This window comes from Homo sapiens, chromosome 21, assembly GCF_000001405.40.
Source record: "Homo sapiens chromosome 21, GRCh38.p14 Primary Assembly".
NCBI classification, from domain to species: domain Eukaryota; kingdom Metazoa; phylum Chordata; class Mammalia; order Primates; family Hominidae; genus Homo; species Homo sapiens.
The window spans coordinates 9,543,004-9,561,289 of record NC_000021.9 but is presented as its reverse complement, the minus strand read 5'-3'; the positions used below and the strand labels follow the sequence as shown (position 1 = coordinate 9,561,289).

Here is an 18,286-nt window from a genome sequence, read left to right as displayed (position 1 = left end):
GCGAGAATAGATAGTGAGTACGTAAGAAGACAAATATGTGAGTAAATATAAATGAACACTGACTATACAACATGTAGTTTCCAGTGGATTAGCAATAAGATGAAAAGGAAAATCATAAAACTTCTAAAGATAATATAGTAAAACTACCTTAATAGCCCCAGTGGGTTTTCATGTAAAACCTAAACAAATTCTGTTCACCAAAAAAACACTATCAGGATCAAAGACCCAACTATAAGGGGTAAAACTATAAAATTTGTAGAAGAAAACATAGGTATAAATCTGTGACCGTGAATTAGGCAATGGGTCTTAGATACAACACCAAATGCAAGAGTGACAAAAGGAAAAACAAACTGGACTTTAACAAAATTCAAAACTTTTGTACATCAAAGGATACCATCAGGAAAGTGAAAAGAACTCACAGAATGAGAGAAAATATCTATTAAGTCATACATCTGATGAGGAACTAATGTCCAGAATATATAAAGAATTCTTAGAATAACAAAAAGACAACACAATTAAATGAGCAAACAATCTAAATGAACATTTCTCTAAAAAGATATACAAATCACCAATCAGCACATGAAAAGATGCTCAACATCATTAGTCATTAAGGATATGCAAATGAAAACTACAACTAGATACCACTTCACATCTACAAGTATGGCTATATTTTTTTAAAAAAGGAAAATAACAGATGTTGGCAAGGAGGTAGGAAAAAATGGAACCTCCGTACGCTGCTGGTAATAATATAAAATGGTACAGAGACTTTGGAACACAGTTTTGAAGTTTTTCAAAAATTTAAACATAGATTTACCATACGCCCACTCCTAGATACATAAAGAAAATTGTAAAAATACGTCCACACAAAAACGAGTACATGAATCTCATCACAGTACATTATTAATGATAGTCAAAAAATGAACACAACTCAAATATCCATCAACTAATAAATGGATAAACAAAACAGTATACTCATGCAATGGGATTCAGGCATATAAAGCAATGAAGTGCTGAGACAAGATACAACATGGATGAATCAGGACAACATGGTAAATAAATGAAGCCAAACACAAAAGGTCACATATGATTCTGTTTTTTCTGGTATTTGGCATATGCTAGTCCATAGAGACAGAGAATAGACTAGTGGTTGCCAGGGGCTGGGAAAAGGGGGAAATGGGGAGTAACTGCTAGTAAGTATGGAGTTTCTTTTTGAAATGATAAACATGTTCTAGAATTAGAGAGTTGTGATAGCTGTACAACTTTATGAATACATTAAAAGCACTTAAAGCGCCTACAGTCCCAGCTGCTCGGGAAGCTGTTGCAGGAGAATCGCTTGAACCTGGGAGGCAGAGGTTGCAGTGAGCCAACATCACACCACTGCACTCCAGCCTGGGTGACAGAGTGAGACTCCAAATCTGGAAAAAAAAAGGCACTTAGTGTACACTTAGAATGGATACTGGGCTAAAAGTGAAGTGACAGGCCTCAAACTAGGCAAATCTTCTATACACATATCTGACAAGGGACTTCAGGAAATCCTAAAAGTTTCAATGATGAAATAGGAGACTATAGACAAAAGACTTGAACAATGCACATAAGGAACCCAAATAACTCATAAACAAATGAAAATAAGCTCAGCCTCCTTCCAAACCACACAAGACTATTTCATATCCAACTGAAAAAATGATATCAAGTAAAGGCAAGAATGTGCACAAATAAGTACCCACATAAGCTGCCAGTGGGAATATAAAATGGTGTTACTTCTTAGCAAATTTGGTATCATCTATTAAATAGTTCACTGTGCATAATCTTGGGCCAAGCACTGCCAATCCTGGGCACATGCCCTGGAAAATCTCTACATGTGAACCAAAAACCAGCACCATTGTATGGATTATCAAAAAAAAATCAAAAATAGAATGGAAAAACAAATTTCACTCTCTGCAATCATATAATCAGACAGTGCAGCAAGGAAAATGAATGAATGTAAGAAAACCACAATAGTAGCAAAAAACAGCAAGTCAGAATACGTAAGGCATGATTCCTTTTATGTAAAGTTTCAAAATATGGAAAACTCAAAATTATCTTCTGTAGGGAGAAAAACATACATTCTTAGAATATATTAGGCAAAGACTTTTACTTGTTTCTTTTTCAGTTTAAGGATCTGCTGTTCTACTTTTGCAATTTTTCAATCTACACGATCCATACTTTGTATTAACTCTTCGTTTGAAAGTTTTGAAGGTAAAGCATTTTGATCATCTCCACATGGTTGCCCCGAAATTGGAGAGGATGGAGCTTCATGTTTGCCTCCAAATGCTGGATCCTTTAGAGAATAAAACCAAGAAAAACAATTCATTTCTCACTAATAGAGTCCAGATTGCCTTAAATGAAACAGTCAGTTTTAAACCACAGCAGAGCCATGTGTAATATGTGTCTAATGAAACCTTTAGCAGTAACTTTCATATTTACATATATGCAAATTCTCACCTCACTTTTATAGTTTAGATATACCATGTACTATTCTGAAGAGCCTAAAAGCTATACAAAGTCAGGTGAGTTAGTGCTGATCAGCCTCTAGTGTAACAATACTGAAATTATAGAGAATTTATAGGTAAATAATGCAATCATGACGAAGATACCAACTTCTCAGCCATTTCCTTGCAATGGCTCTTCAAATGGTCTGAACCACTGGCTGGGAAATAGTATTATTCCAGGTAAAACCTGTGTGTCCACCCAACTTAACAACTATAACATGGCCAAGTGTTCCTATCAGAAGTTTTCAGGCTTTCCAAACCAAAACTGAGGTACACGAGTCAGAGAAGTGACCTAGGAACTTCAGCTGCTACTATCTCTGGGCCTACTTCCATAAAGCCCACACTACAGCATACGTAACATTTCCTTAGCCAAAAACATCCCACTGCACCTCCAAATCAGCAGAGCTGTAGCAGAATGAAAGCCCCTTCACCCAAAATCCACTCCAACACACATCCACACACACCCTATTAATTTCCAGTCTGCTGTAAAGATATAAGCAATATTATAAAACATAAAGTTTAGAGCACTAATTTTACTTAGACTATCAGAAACCTACAATGAGGGTAGTTCACAGGATTACAGAACCCTAAAATGTATTAAATAATGATTAAGGAACTGTGAAAAGTCAATAGTTCTGAGCCAAGAATGCCTACAGGAGATAACTGGACAGTTGCTTCAAAACACCGTAGTACAGATATTTCAGCTAATATACACTGATGAAAAGCCTCATATTCTGTAATAGTATGCACTGAATCTGAGAGGCCTTCTGGGAAAATAAGATTATGGCTATACCCTAAAACCTGTACAGTTCTGTAAGGAAAGCACCAATAAAAGCAATAACAATTCTAATAGACTTAATAGAGTTAAAGCTCCAGTATCCTTTGCATCTGGCATACAATCAATCTTTGGCAGCTTTAAGCCCTAGAGTTTATGATTCCTCTCTTAAGATGTAAATCCGTGAGGTCATTGGCTTCCAAAATAAACCAGTATGTTTCATCTAAATAAAATATCAGTGGCCGGGCATGGTGGCTCATGCTTGTAATCCCAGCACTTTGGGATGCCAAGGCAGGTAGATCACAAGGTCAGGAGTTCGAGACCAGCCTCACCAACATGGTTAAACCCCGTCTCTACTAAAAAATACAAAAATTAGCTGGGTGTGGTAGCGGGCACTTGTAGTCCCAGCTACTCGGGAGGCTGAGGCAGGAGAATGGCTTGAACCCAGGAGGGAAAGGTTGCAGTGAGCTGAGATTGCACTACTGCACTCCAGCATGGGTGACAGAGGGAGACTCCATCTAAAAAAAAAGAAAAAAAATCAGATTTGGCATATAACCATGTTTATCAACCTCTTTTTCTCCCCCTCCCTCCTTTATCAACGCTAAAAAAAAATACAAGAAAATTTGTCTTCACATTGTCTTTTCAATGCTTGAATCTTCACTAACACTGTGAAAAGCACGACAGTTCTTAAATTCACTAAACCAGCTACTATTTGCACTAAATGAAAACTAAATGCAGAATGTTCAAATATTCTTAAGTCTTCATGTGTTGTGAAGCCTTTTTCTTTCATTATGAGACAGCATACTCCTGAGAACTTAGAAATGTTAATGCATAAAGAAAGATCTTTGGTGAACTACCAGGACTTTCATGATACATTAATGTCATTCTCCCACTATATGCATATGAGCAAATTTGTGTTACAGAAACATATATAACAGAAAAAGAGATTACATTTTGAATCAGCAGACTTCAAAAGTGCTCCTCAGGTGATTCTGATGCATCTGATGCATCAGATGCAAAGATTAATATTCTGATGCAAAGAATTAATATTACAAATGAATATTTTCCACTGACTTCCTTTCTAAATATTAAATATTTAATAAGAAACCAAATCCTCAAGTGCCTACTTATATAACAGGAATAGGGTGGTGGATCAAAACAGACAAGATATCTCCCTTCATGAAGTTTACAATCTTGGGTTGAAACAGCAAGATACCAATCCTGAAGAAAAAAGAGTTAGATTCTTACCTCATATCTTACATAAAAAAAGCCAAGTAATAGCAAACATTTATAAGAGGCTTATTAGCAAATCACAAAAAGCCTCAAATTAAAAAAAAAAAAAAGATTCACATTATCGTGGGTTCAGGAAAGCCAAAAGCAAAAGATAAAAAATACATTAGTTTTTAAAAAAGAAAAATTGATGGATAAAATAAAAAACAGTCTTCTGCTGGGCATGATGGCTCACACCTGTAATCCCAGCAGTTTGGGAGGCCGAGGCAGGCAGATCACTTGAGGTGAGGAGTTTGAGACCAGCCTGGGCAATATGGTAAAACCCCATCTCTACTAAAAGTACAAAAATCAGCCAGGTGTGCTGGTGCAAGCCTGTAATCCCAGCTACTTGGGAGGCTGAGGCAGGAGAATGGCTTGAACCCGGGAAGCGGAGGTTGTGGTGAGCAGAGATGGCACCACTGCACTCCAACCTGGGTGACAGAGGAAGACTCCATCTCAAAAACAACAACAACAACAACAACAACAACAACCACCACCACACATGCAAAAACACCATCTTCTGCTTATCAAAACAGTAACAACAAATTAAAAAGGCAAATGATTAAATAGGAAAACCATTTGCAAAACATGCACTCTAACAACTCAATATAAAATAAACCAACAGCAAAATGGGCAACATATATGAAAAATCAATTTACAAAACAGGAAAAATAACCAATAAACAAATAAAAAAATGTTAAATTTTACTAACAAATAATACGTTTAATTTAAAAACAATCATTCATCAAATTAACAATCTTTTTGTTAAACGATAAACATGTGGTGTCAGCAAGGATACAGAAGAAGTGGGTACCTTTATTTTTTTTTATTTTTATTTTTTTGAGACGACATCTCACTCTTGTCCCCCAGGCTGGAGTGCAGTGGCACAATCTCAGCTCACTGCAACCTCTGCCTCCCAGGTTCAAGCGATTCTCTTGCCTCAGCCTCCTGAGTAGCTGGGATTACAGGCACCGGCCACCACACCTGGCTAATTTTTGTATTTTTAGTAGAGACGGGGTTTCACTATGTTGGCCAGGCCGGTCTCGAACTCCTGACCTCTGGTGATCTGCCTGCCTCGACCTCCCAAAGTGCTGGGATTACAGGCGTGAGCCACCATGCCCGGCCAAGAAGTGGGTACCTTTATACACTGTTGTCAGGAGTTAAGAACTGGCCCTACTCTTTTGCAAGACAATCTGGAAATACCCACTGAACCTTAAAAATCAACCTGGTCTGTAATTAATTATACTAAAAGAAATCTACCTTAAGGAAACAAGTAAGAATGCATACAGAAAAAACAAGCTAAATAATGTACGGGCCAGCTGCAGTGGCTCATGCCTGTAATCCCAGCACTTTGGGAGGCCAAGGTGTGCAGATCACCTGAGGTCAGGAGTTCGAGACCAGCCTGGCTAACATGGTGAAACCTCGTCTCCACTAAAAATACAAAAATTAGCTGAACTTGGTGGCATGCACCTGTAGTCCCAGCTATTTGGGAGCCTGAGGCAGGAGAATCGCTGGGAGGTATAGGTTGCAGTGAGCCAAGATCATGCCACTGCACTCCAGCCTGGGCAACAAAGTGAGACTCCATCTCAAAAAAAAAAAAAAAATGCATGTCACAACACCGTACTTCTGAACAAACAGGTAACCTAAATGTATGAAAATTGATTAAATAAATAACTTTATTTATTCATATGTGGAATACTAAGTAGCCACTAACAATACAGTTGTAAACTTATTGACACAAAAAGAAGTTAAGCACGTATTTAAGCAAAAGTAAAGTTAAACAGAATGTACAAAGTGAGCACATTAAAACATTCATACGGGCCGACTCTGGACACACTGCCTATGGGTTAGCCCTGTTACACAAGGAGCAGCAGCAAAAAAAAACAAAAAACAAAAAAAAAAACCCATAAAATTAAATTAAACTAAAATTAAAATAATACACACACAAATAGGGAAGAATCAACATGAAAATGTTAATAACTTTTAACTGGTAAAACTGCAGGTAATTTTTTCTTTCAAGCTTATTTAATTCTTCTATAAATGATATACCTAGGCTTAACATTTAAAAAAAATCTAACAAATGTTAGTTCTTTTTAAATACTTACTTCTGGAGGTGGGCAGTTGGGAGAGAATGGGGAGAGGGAGATGGAAAGAGAAGTATTAGTTAGTAGTAGTAGTCATGGTTTACACTTTAGAGGAAAAAAAGCAGGACTAGAGTCAGGGGTCCTGGGTTAATTCCAGCTCAGGAGGTACTACCTAGGTCACTTAATTTTTCTGAACACCCAGTTTCTCAACTATAACATGGAAATGGGTCACATTACCACACAACACATCTCATTTTAATGAATGAGTTTTTAAGACACTTGTCTGCTAAAAAACGAAATTCTATAAATTACATTTTTGGTAATGTATTCAGCCATGGAAGATGACCTTTATTCACTATATTTTTAAATTTCTTTTTTTTAATGCAGCAGAACACTTCTTATAAACCCCACAGACTACTGTAGGATAAGGATATTTCAAATGATAAGGTGGGTCACAAAACACCTAGAAGCTTAGCTAATTTCTAGCTTATGGCAAAGAATATTTCCCCATCCAACTTACTATTTTGAAAAATTTCAAATTCACTTAAAAGTTGAAGGAACAGTATAATGGACACTCATTTATCCTTCATCTAGATTCACCAGTAGTTAACATTTTAACATATTTACTTTCTGTGTGTGTCTGTGTATGTTTATAAAACTTCATTTTGGCTGAACTATTTGAAAATAAATTGTAGATACATTTATTATCTTTTAAATTACTCTTCATTGCATGAAAACTCAAAGAAAATGTGTGGGTACTTATTTATCTGATATCAGGGAAGAAAGGGCAATCAGGCATAAAGGTTAACAAACATAGAAAAAATATTTGATGGCAGTAAAAACATTTTAAATTTCAGTATGCTTAAAAAAAAGAAAAATTGAAACAAAAAGACTCTGGGAAAAGTATTAGAATATGTTAGGCAGGCAGATCACTTGAGGCCAGGAGTTCGAGACCAGCCTGGCCAACATAGTGGAAACTTGTCCCTACTAAAAATACAAAAAATTAGCTGGGGCCGGGCACAGTGGCTCATGCCTGTAATCTCAGCACTTTGGGAAGCTGAGGTGGATGGATCACCTGAGGTCAGGAGTTCGAGACCAGCCTGACCAACATGGTGAAATCCCATCTCTACTAAAAATACAAAATTAGCCGGGCATAGTGGTGCATGCCTGTAATCCCAGCTACTTGGGAGGCTGAGGCAGGAGAATCACTTGAACCCAGGAGGCGGAGGTTGTGGTGAGCCAAGATCGCATCATTGCACTCCAGCCTGGGCAACAAGAGTGAAACTCTGTCTCAAAACAAAAAAACAAAAAAAGTAGCTGGGCATGGTAGTGCATGCCTGCAGCCCCAGCTACTCAGGGGGCTGAGGCATGAGAATTGCTTGAACCTGGGAGGTGGAGGTTGCTGTGGGCTGAGATCGTACCACTGCTCTCCAGCCTGAATGACAGAGCAAGAATGCCTCAAAAAAAAAAAAAAAAAAAAACAAGTAGCCACAGGGGGGAAAATGTGTTTTATATATTAATGAGCAAAAATTAAGAATGACCTCAGGCTTCTAGTCAGAAACCATACAAACCAGAATACAATGATATGACATCTCTTAAAATACTGAAACTGTCAACTTAGAATTCTATATCTAGTGAAAATAGTCTTCAGAAATAAAAACATTTTCAGGCAAATAAAAGCTGAGAGAATTAATTGCCAAAAGACTTAGCTAAACTGAGAGAAATGAAGTGCTTCAGGCAAAAACACAATAATATCAGAAGAAAACTTGAATACACAAAAAGAATGAAGTGATGATATATACACAGGCAATTAGAGAAGGAAAAAAAAATAAAGAGTAGAAATCAGTGAAATAGAAAAATAGTGAAAATGATTGAAACCAAAGCTAGTTCTTCAAAAATCTATTAAACTGATAAACCTCTAGGCAGACTGATTAAAAAATAATAAAAACAAACATTATCAACATGATTAACAACATAGCAACATATCTCAAAGGCACTGAAATGATGAGGAAATATTGAGACAAATTATGTCAATAAATCTGATACCTTAAACAACAAAATATACCCAAACTGACTCAAGAAAAAATTATCTGAATTATAACTATTAAAGAAATTTAATTCATATTTAAATTCTTCCCAGAAAAAAAAATCTGGGACCAAGTTTCATTGATAAATTCTATCAAATATCTAAGGTTGAAAAAGTATCAATCCCAGCCACCACGTGGTGGGCTGACACCTGAAATCCCAGCACTTGGGGAGGCTGAGGCGGGTAGATCACCTAAGGTCAGGAGTTCGAGACCAGCCTGGCCAACATGGCAAAACCGTACTAAAAGTACAAAAAATTTGTCAAGCATGGTGGTGGGCGCTTGTAATCTCAGCTACTTGGGAGGTTGAAGCAGGAGAATTGCTTGAACCACGAAGAAGAGGTTGCAGTGAGCCGAGATCACGCAATTGCCCACTCTAACCTGGGTGACAGAGTGAGACTCAAAGAAAGAAAGAGGAGAAAGAGGAGAGAGAGAGAAAGAAAGGAAGAAAGAAAAAGAAAAAAAAGAAAGAAAGCCAAGAAAGAAAGAGAAAGAAATGAAAGAAAGAAATGAAAGAAAGAAAGAAAGAAAGAAAGAAAGAGAAAAGGCCAGGCGCAGTGGCTCATGCTTATAATCCCAATATTTTGGGAGGCTGAGTCGGGCGGATCTCTTGAGTTCAGAAGTTCGAGACCAGCCTAGCCAACACGGTGAAACCCCATCTCTACTGAAAATACAAAAATTAGCCAGGTGTGGTGGCACGCACCTGTAATCCCAACTACTCAGGAGGCTGAGGCAGTAGAATCACTTGAACCCGGGAGATGGAGGTTGCAGTGAGCTGAGATTGTACCACTGCACTCCAGCCTGGATGACAGAGCAAGACTCCATTTCAAAGAAAAGTACCAATCCTACACAAACCCCTTAAGAAAAGAAAACACAGGAGTAAAGAGCACTCTCCAAGCTAACATCATTCTTAATGCAGAAAGACTGAAACTCAACGCTTACCACACCACATATAAAATTTTAATTCAAAATAGGTAATTTACCTAAATGAAACACCTATAATTATAAAACTTAGAGAAGAAAACATAAGTGAAAATTGGTCGGGCGCGATGGCTCACACCTGTAATCCCAGCACTTTGGGAGGCCGAGGCAGGTGGATCACAAGGTCAGGAGATTGAGACCATCCTGGCTAACAGAGTGAAAGCTCATCTCTACTAAAGATACAAAAAAAATTAGTTGGGCGTGGTGGTGGGCGCCTGTAGTCCCAGCTACTCGGGAGGCTGAGGCAGGAGAATGGTGTGAACCCAGGAGGCAGAGCTTGCAGTGAGCCGAGATTGCCCCACTACACTCCAGCCTGGGCAACAGAGTAAGATTTTGTCTCAAAAAAACAAAAACAAAAACAAAAACAAAACAAAACAAAAATAGAAAAAAAGAAAACGTAAGTGAAAATCCTAGTGACCTTGAATTTGGCAAAAACGTCTTAGGTTTGACACAAAAAGCACAAAAAATGAACAATAAAAATAGTACATCGGGGCTGGGTGTAGTGGCTCACACCTGTAATCCCAGCACTTTGGAAGGCTGAGGAGAGTGGATCACCTGAGGTCAGGAGTTCGAGACCAGCCTGGCCAACATGGTGAAACTCCATCTCTACTAAAAATACAAAAATTACCTGGGTGTGGTGGCACATGCCTGTAATTCCAGCTACTCAGGAGGCTGAGGTAGGAGAATTGCTTGAACCTGGGATGCAGAGGTTGCAGTGAGCTGAGATGGCACCATAGCACTCCAGACTAGGCGACAGAGCAAGACTCTGTCTCAAAAAATAAACTACATCGGACTTGATAAAAATAAAAAATGTATGCTCTCCAAAGGATACTGTTAAGAAAATGAGGCAAAACTTCTTTTAATAATCTAGATACAATATATAGATATATGTTTTCTAAGTAATTTTATCTATAATAATCAAAAACTGGAATAGGTGACTGGATAAACAAATTGTGGTATACCCATACTCAACAATAAAAAGGAATGAACTGAGACATGCCAGACATGGATAGATCACAGAAGTATTATGGGAAGCAAAAGAGGTCATAGACAAAAGAGTTCCCATGAAGCTCAGAATGTATACAATGTTTTATGACAGAAAGCAGATCAGTGGTTTCCTAGGAGCTGAGGTTAGTAGGAATTGGGGGAGGAGGACTGACACGGGTGGGTGCCAAGGAGGATGGGGTGCCAAGGAACGTGCTGGAGTGTTAGAAATGTTGTTCATCTTCATTTTGGTGATGGTTCTATGAGTTTATGAATTTGTCAAAATTTGTTACAATGTACACATATAATGAGTGCATTCTAATATAGATATATGTGTATATATATATAAACTAAACTGCAAAGTTAATTTTGTTTCTTTTAAGATGGGGTTTCACTCTTGTTGCCCAGGCTGGAGTGCACCGGCACGATTTTGGCTCACTGCAACCTCTGCCTCCCGGGTTCAAGCGATTCTCCAGCCTCAGCATCCCAAGTAGCTGGGATTACAGGTGCCTGCCACGATGCCCGGCTAATTTTTTCGTATTTTTAGTAGAGACGGGGTTTCACAATGTTGGCCAGGCTGGTCTCAAACTCCTGACCTCAAGTGATCCACCCGCCTCAGCCTCCCAAAGTGCTGGGATTACAGGCGTGAACCACTGCGCCCGGCCTGATTTTATGAAAAAACCAGCAGCAACAATAATCCGGAAAATTGGTAATCAGATGAATAACACTGGGGTAGGGGGACAACACAAGCAAAATTCAACACCAATCATGACAGAAATTCTCAAACTAGGAACAGAAAGCAACCTCTTCAACCAAAAAAGGCATCAACAAAAATGTGCAACTAACGTTACACGTAATGGTAAAAGACTAAATGCCTCCCTACACAGGAACATCGTAGGAATGTCCATTCTAACTCTGTAATCATGACTACACTTCAAAGGAGTCCTCAGTAGGACCCCGTAGTACATTTTGATGACAAATCTGCTTTCTTAGTCTCTGAGATGACCGTTTTATCCCATCCTTTCCTATTTTTCTTTAAACCTCTTACATCCATATCTTTGGTCTACTCTGAGATGATTATTTCACCTCATACTTTATTTTTCACAAGGTAAATCAATCTCTTACAAACTCTTCCTATAATAAAGTCTTCCTTCCTATCTACCATCCCTTCCTTCCTTCCTACCTACTATGCAAATCTTCCTACCATCAATCTCTCAAGAAGACAGAGGTCTTTATCCTGGCCATCACTCAAGACATGCCAAGTTATCTAGCCAGCTTAAAACTCAACCACAACTTGGGAGTATAAATATAGGTCTTACCCTAGAAATTCTAGAGAATTGATAAGTTTTCTATTTATCATCAACTCCTGTCATCAAAACAAAGACAAGTTCAACTCCTGAAATCGGCATAAAGCCACAGTAAGAAGACAGAAATAATTAATTCCCAACCTTTGGTTCCTTGTCTTTGTAAATAGCTCTTGCCACTTAAAAAAAAAGGCAAATTTGGTGGTTTCTACCAACATGTGTATTAAATAGGAAAAGTAAAGAAAAACAAAAAAACGTGCAATTTGCATAGCATTTGTTCCTTACCTGCTGGTGGTGGGTGCTGGGAAACGTATACTTTACAGAGTGAGGAGGAGAACGACTTTGTTCTGTGCTGAATGCTCCTTGGTTGGGAGGATAAACTGAACTTGACATTATCAGTAAAGAAGTTCTCACCAGACTGCGAGATCAACGCCAATAAACAATCATGTTTCTAGGAAACCATCTAAACAGGATGGGAAAAAAATAGAATTAATAAGAACTAAAACACCAAGTGTACTTCTAATAAATTATAACTATAGATACATAAATAAAACCACAATTACCAGGAAAAGCTTCCTCTCAGGTATTTACTTAATAAAAGTTACCAAGGTTTGAAAACATTAATGCATCATTTCTTTTTATATTTAAAATAGGTTAGTATGTGACAAATAATATAATTAGCTATATAAAGTAAAAACAGTATATAAAAACAGCATAATATCTGGCACATAGTAACTGCTCAGTAAATACCTTTCTATAAATGTCTAAGGCATATAAAGACAAAAATACATGGTTTTAAATTTGGGAGTTGATAAGTCAATTGTGAAAAGAATTCAAGAGTAGTTTTAAGGTAAGCATTTGTGCAGAGGAAGTATTGTCTTTATTAAATAATTGTGAAGCAAGGATGATAAAATACTAAGTTTTGTAATCACAGATGGTAGGTAGATGGATATTTGTTATGTTACTCTTTGCTTGCTTCTATGGAACTGAAATAGCAAATAAAGAAAAAAAAGGCCAGGAGCGGTGGCTCCTCCTGTAATCCCAGCACTCTGGGATGCTGAGGCGGGAAGATCACTTGAGGTCGGGAGTTCGAGGCCAGCCTGGCCAACATGGTGAAACTTCTTTTCTACTAAAAATACAAAAATTAACCGGGCATGGTGACATGCGCCAGTAATCCCAGCTACTTGGGAGGCTGAGGCAGGAGAATTGCTTGAGCCTGGGAGGTGGCAGTTGCAGTGAGCCGAGATCACACCATTGCACACCAGCTGGGGAAACAGAGTGAGACTTCATCTCAAAAAAAAAAAAAAAAGAAAGAAAGAAAAAGAAAGCCATCCTCATTATAAACTCTATTCCTACTTGTCCACAATTCTAGACTAATTTGATTTGTCTGTCTTTTCCTGTGCCAATGCCACACTTTTCAAATTACTCTAGTATTACGAGGTTTCATATCCAGCAGGGCAAGTTTCACCTCACTGTGCTTCGTTGTTGCTGCTACTTTCACCACCTTCCCAGCTATTCTAGAACATTTCCTCTTACACACAAGCATGAGAGTCAGCTTGTCAGGTCCCAGAGAAATTCTGGATGAGAAAACATAAATATTGAATTCACAGACTGACTAATGGGAGAACAGGTACCCCTATACTCCTGAGTATTCCCATTCTAAAACATGATTATCTACGTTTATGTTTCAGGATAACACAAATATTTATGTTATACATAATTCATATGGGTGTATTTTACATACATATGGTAGAGAATATTACATATGTGTAAAAATGTGTGCAATAATATATAATTTCTATCTTAATTATATATAAAACTCCCATGACAAAAATTTTATATACACATATACACATGTGCATGTGTGTACATACACTCTTACTTTAAGACCGGAGTTCTATTATTACCTAATTGGGTGGTTTTAAAAAAATAGAATTTAAATATAAGATGAAAACTATATAATTGCATACATAAAAATATAACAGATATAATTTTATATATATAAAATCTTCACCCATTTAATACTTTATTAGTAAAGTTTTAATTTTGTTTCCATCATTTCAAGGTATTTGGGAAGAGGGCAAATTCAAAAAATAATTCAGTATGACAAATTGATCAATTTCCCAGTTTTTATCAATATATTCTTTATCCAGTTAGGTTTAGAAAATAAAATTTTCTAGGGAATTGTCATTCAATCTAACTTTAAAACAAAACTTATAGGCTGGCCACAGTGGCTCACACCTGTAATCCCAGCATTTTGGGAAGTCAAGATAGGAGGATCTCCTAAGGCCAGGTATTCAGGACCAGAATGGGCAATGAAGCCAGAACTATCTCTACAAGAAAATTAAAATAATAATAATAATTAGTTAGGCGGCCAGGTGCGGTGGCTCACACCTGTAATCCCAGCACTTTTGGAGGCCGAGGCGGGCGGATCGTGAGGTCACGAGATCGAGACCATCCTGGCTAACACGGTGAAACTCTGTCTCTATTAAAAATACGAAAAAGTAGCCGGGCGTGGTGGTGGGCACCTGTAGTCCCAGCTACTCGGGAGACTGAGGCAGGAGAATGGCGTGAACCCAGGAGGCGGAGCTTGCAGTGAGCCGAGATCGGACCACTGCACTCCAGCCTGGGTGACAGAGCGAGACTCTGTCTCAAAAAAAAAAAAAAAAGAAAAAGAAAAAATAATTAGTCAGGCATACAGTACACACCCATGGTCCCAGCTACCTGGGAGGCTGAGGCAGGAGGATCACTTGAGCCCAGGAGGTCAAGACTGCAGTGAGCCGTGATTGTGCCACTGCACTCCAGCCTGAGTGATACAATGAAACTCTGACCCAAAAAATAAAAGAAAAAATGTATAGAAAGAACTTTAAGGCCAGGCGTGGTGGCTCACGCACTTTAGGAGGCCAACGTGGGCAGATCACGAGGTCAGAGTTCAAGGCCAGCCTGGCCAACATGGTGAAACCCAGTCTCTACTAAAGATACAAAAAATTAGCCGGGCATGGTGGCACACACCTGTAAACCCAGCTACTTGGGAGGCTGAGGCAGGAGAATCACTTGAAGCTGGGAGGCGGAGGTTGCAGTGAGGTGAGATGGCATCACTGCACTCCAGCCTGGGTGAGGGGCCCAGACTCCATCTCAAAAAAAAAAAAAAAAAAAAGAACTTTAAAAACTGCATGTGGTACCATGTAATATATAAATATTTTAAATAAATATATCATCCTTTCTCCTGATGTCACATTTCCTGCTGTTGTGAAAGTTGACCAGGAGAAGAGTCAGAAGACTGACCAGCTGTCCCTCAGTCTGTTTTCTCCCTGTTCCCTTCCAAGGCCCGAGGCATGGAGGTCAGCAAATCTTAAGGATTGGAAGGTTGAGATTACCCAACTAACACTGATTTGACAGGTGAGAAATGTGAAGATCAGAGAAAGTCAATAATTCCTCCAATATCACAAAATTGTCTGTGGCAAAATGGGAAAAACTAATGTTTTCTGCAATGCTTTGCGGCCTTCTCAGCAGGTAGTGAACTAGGAGAAGGTGAGATGTTCCGTGAGACCACACATTAAAACCACCTGAGGAGCTTTCTCCTCATCTATACATCTGCAACTGCTCCAGGTGGAAGGGGAAAAGCCAACATGTGGCACTGTGGGGAGGGTTGATCTTTTTAGAAATAAAGATTATATGCAGGACTTAAGAGTTTTTAAAAGTACCACAGAATACAAAGTGAAAAATCTCCTTGCCCTTCTCCTCCAGCTGCTACCCAGTTACCCTCCCAGAAGGCAACCAAAGTTACTAGTTTCTAGAGTGTCCTTTAGAAATATCCCACACATACATACAATCACACTTTTTCCCCTATGTAAATGGTGGCATACTAGAAACACACTGTTCTGTATCTTGCTTTTATTACTTAATACATCTCGGTTGGCCTGGTGCAGTGGCTCATGCCTGTAATCCCAGCACTTTGGGAGGCTGAGGAGGGTGGATCATGAGGTCAGGAGATCAAGATCATCCTGGCTAACACAGTGAAACACCGTCTCTATTAAAAATACAAAAAAGTTAGCCAGGCATGGTGGTGGGCGCCTGTAGTCCCAGCTACTCAAGACGCTGAGGTGGGGAGAAAGGCATGAACCCAGGTGGCAGAGCTTTCAGTAAGCCAAGATCACATCACCAACCTCCAGCCTGGGTGACAGAGCGAGACTCCGCCCCCCCCCCCCCAAAAAAAATACATCTTGGCAATTATTCTCATGCATCTATGGTTCTTTCTATTGCTAAAGAGAATTTCACTACATGGGCCAGATGTGGTGGCTCACGCCTGTAATCCCAGCATTTTGGGAGGCTGAGGCGGGTGGATCACCTGAGGTCAAGAGTTCGAGACCAGCCTCACCAACATGCTGAAACCCCGTCTCTACTGAAAATACAAAAATTAGCCAGGCATGGTGGCACATGCCTGTAATCCCAGCTACTCGAGAGGCTGAGGAAGGAGAATCGCTTGAAACCAGGGGCAGAGGTTGCGGTGAGCTGAGGTCGTGCCATTGCACTCCAGCCTGGGCAACAAGAATGAAACTCTGTCCAAAAACAGAGTATTTCACTATATGAACGTTCATGCATTTTGTAAAAGTTTTCCAACTAATTCTGATCTGCTGTCCTAAAACATGCTTTAAGTGATCTATCTCTGTGCTCTCCTCCCAACTCAGACATCCCAAATAAATAAAGCTATAAGTGGAATGCAGAGGCAAAAAAAAAAAAGATTTTAACCCAGGGTCATCCCACTTTTTTCTAACAGTGGCCTAAATGATTAGAAACCCATGAGGTACAATTTTTTAATGCACATTGTTTAACTTTCAGCTATGGTGAGTCCTGAGTTCAACAATTACAAACAATGTCACTCAAAGTCACAAGTTAAGTGACTTCTCCATTTTTTCCCTCATTTCAGTAATCCTTCCTGTTGTCCTAGTTTTGTGGTATGACTTTAATGAAGTTCAACTTTATTATCTCAAAAAAAACAAAAAAAATTAGTTTTATTTAAAAGTACTATTCGCCCAATACAGAAGGAAAAAAAAAAAAAAACTAGCAAAGTCAGGAAATTAGCCCCTACCGGCATACAAATTTACAGGTCAAAGCAAGCCCTTCCTGTCGTCACATGAACTGCAGCCTGGAGACCACCACAACCTCCTTCCTCAAAACTTGTCCACGAGATACACAGCAACAGTGCTCAGATCTTGTTTTTTAACCAGAATGTTTTCCTCAGAAGTCTTAAATGAAAGCTAAATGTACAAAAGGTACAATGGAGAAACATTCTGATCTAGTGAGAATGGGAGACCTAGGATTCATTTTTTCAGGCTCCCCCTGCCTTTCCCCATCCCTCCCTCCACCTTTCACTCCAGTCCTGGTTCACTAAGATACCTCGGCAGAATACTTTACATTTGAAACCCACTGAAATGAAAGAATCTAAAGTTCAGACTGAAGGGGAAGGGAGCACCTTAAGTGGCAGTATCAAATTATAATTTCAGTTCTTAGCACCAAAACTCATTAACTCAGGGTAGTTACATGGTTGACTCATGAACTAAAACAATTCTATGAATAGTTTAAGAAATCCGATCAAGATTTTATGAGCAACTTCCTCATCTCTTACATATCAACATATAATGTTTTAGGATGAGAATAATATAGTAATAATTATACATCACTGTCATAAAAGACAATAGCACTTCTAACTGAATTATACAGATAAACCCAGAACTAGCCTCTTACATATTGCAAACAGGTAATAAAATATTGCAAAATGAAATTGATCTATTTAAGTTCCTTTTTAAATCTTCTCATATTAAATAAACACACACATATTTACTCAACAGGAAAATCTTGCAACAAAATTTCAAATACTAACCTGCCAAAAAACAAGTAATTTTTCCTCTCAGCAGGAACTCCTGGCTTTTGGCCCACAACCTTTGCATAACCAAAATGTGTTATGCAAAGGTGTTCAAGGTGGCCTAAGCTACATTGGAAAAAAAGCTAAAAATGGCCGGGCACAGTGGCTCATGCCTGTTATCCCAGCACTTTGGGAGGCCAAGGCTGATGGATCACAAGGTCAGGAAATCAAGACCATCCTGGCCAACATGGTGAAACTCCATCTCTACTAAAATACAAAAAAAATTTAGCCAGACATGGTGGCACACACCTGTAGTCGCAGATACTCGGGAGGCTGAGGCAGGGGACTCACTTGAATCTGGGAAGTGGAGGTTGTAGTGAGCTGGCACCGTGCCACTGCACTCCAGCTTGACAA

General features: G+C 38.9%; 1 pseudogene across 1 annotated transcript; it reads right to left on the bottom strand.

Annotated features, from left to right (window-relative positions):
- Window positions 1-2,021: 2,021 nt before the first annotated feature.
- Window positions 2,022-18,260, bottom strand: NCOR1P4 (NCOR1 pseudogene 4; annotated as a pseudogene). The gene is made up of 3 exons (NR_135512.1): window positions 18,182-18,260; window positions 12,295-12,472; window positions 2,022-2,317 (listed from the first exon to the last, which is right to left on the bottom strand). The product of NR_135512.1 is annotated as an NCOR1 pseudogene 4 (transcript).
- Between the last annotated feature and the right edge of the window lie 26 nt (window positions 18,261-18,286).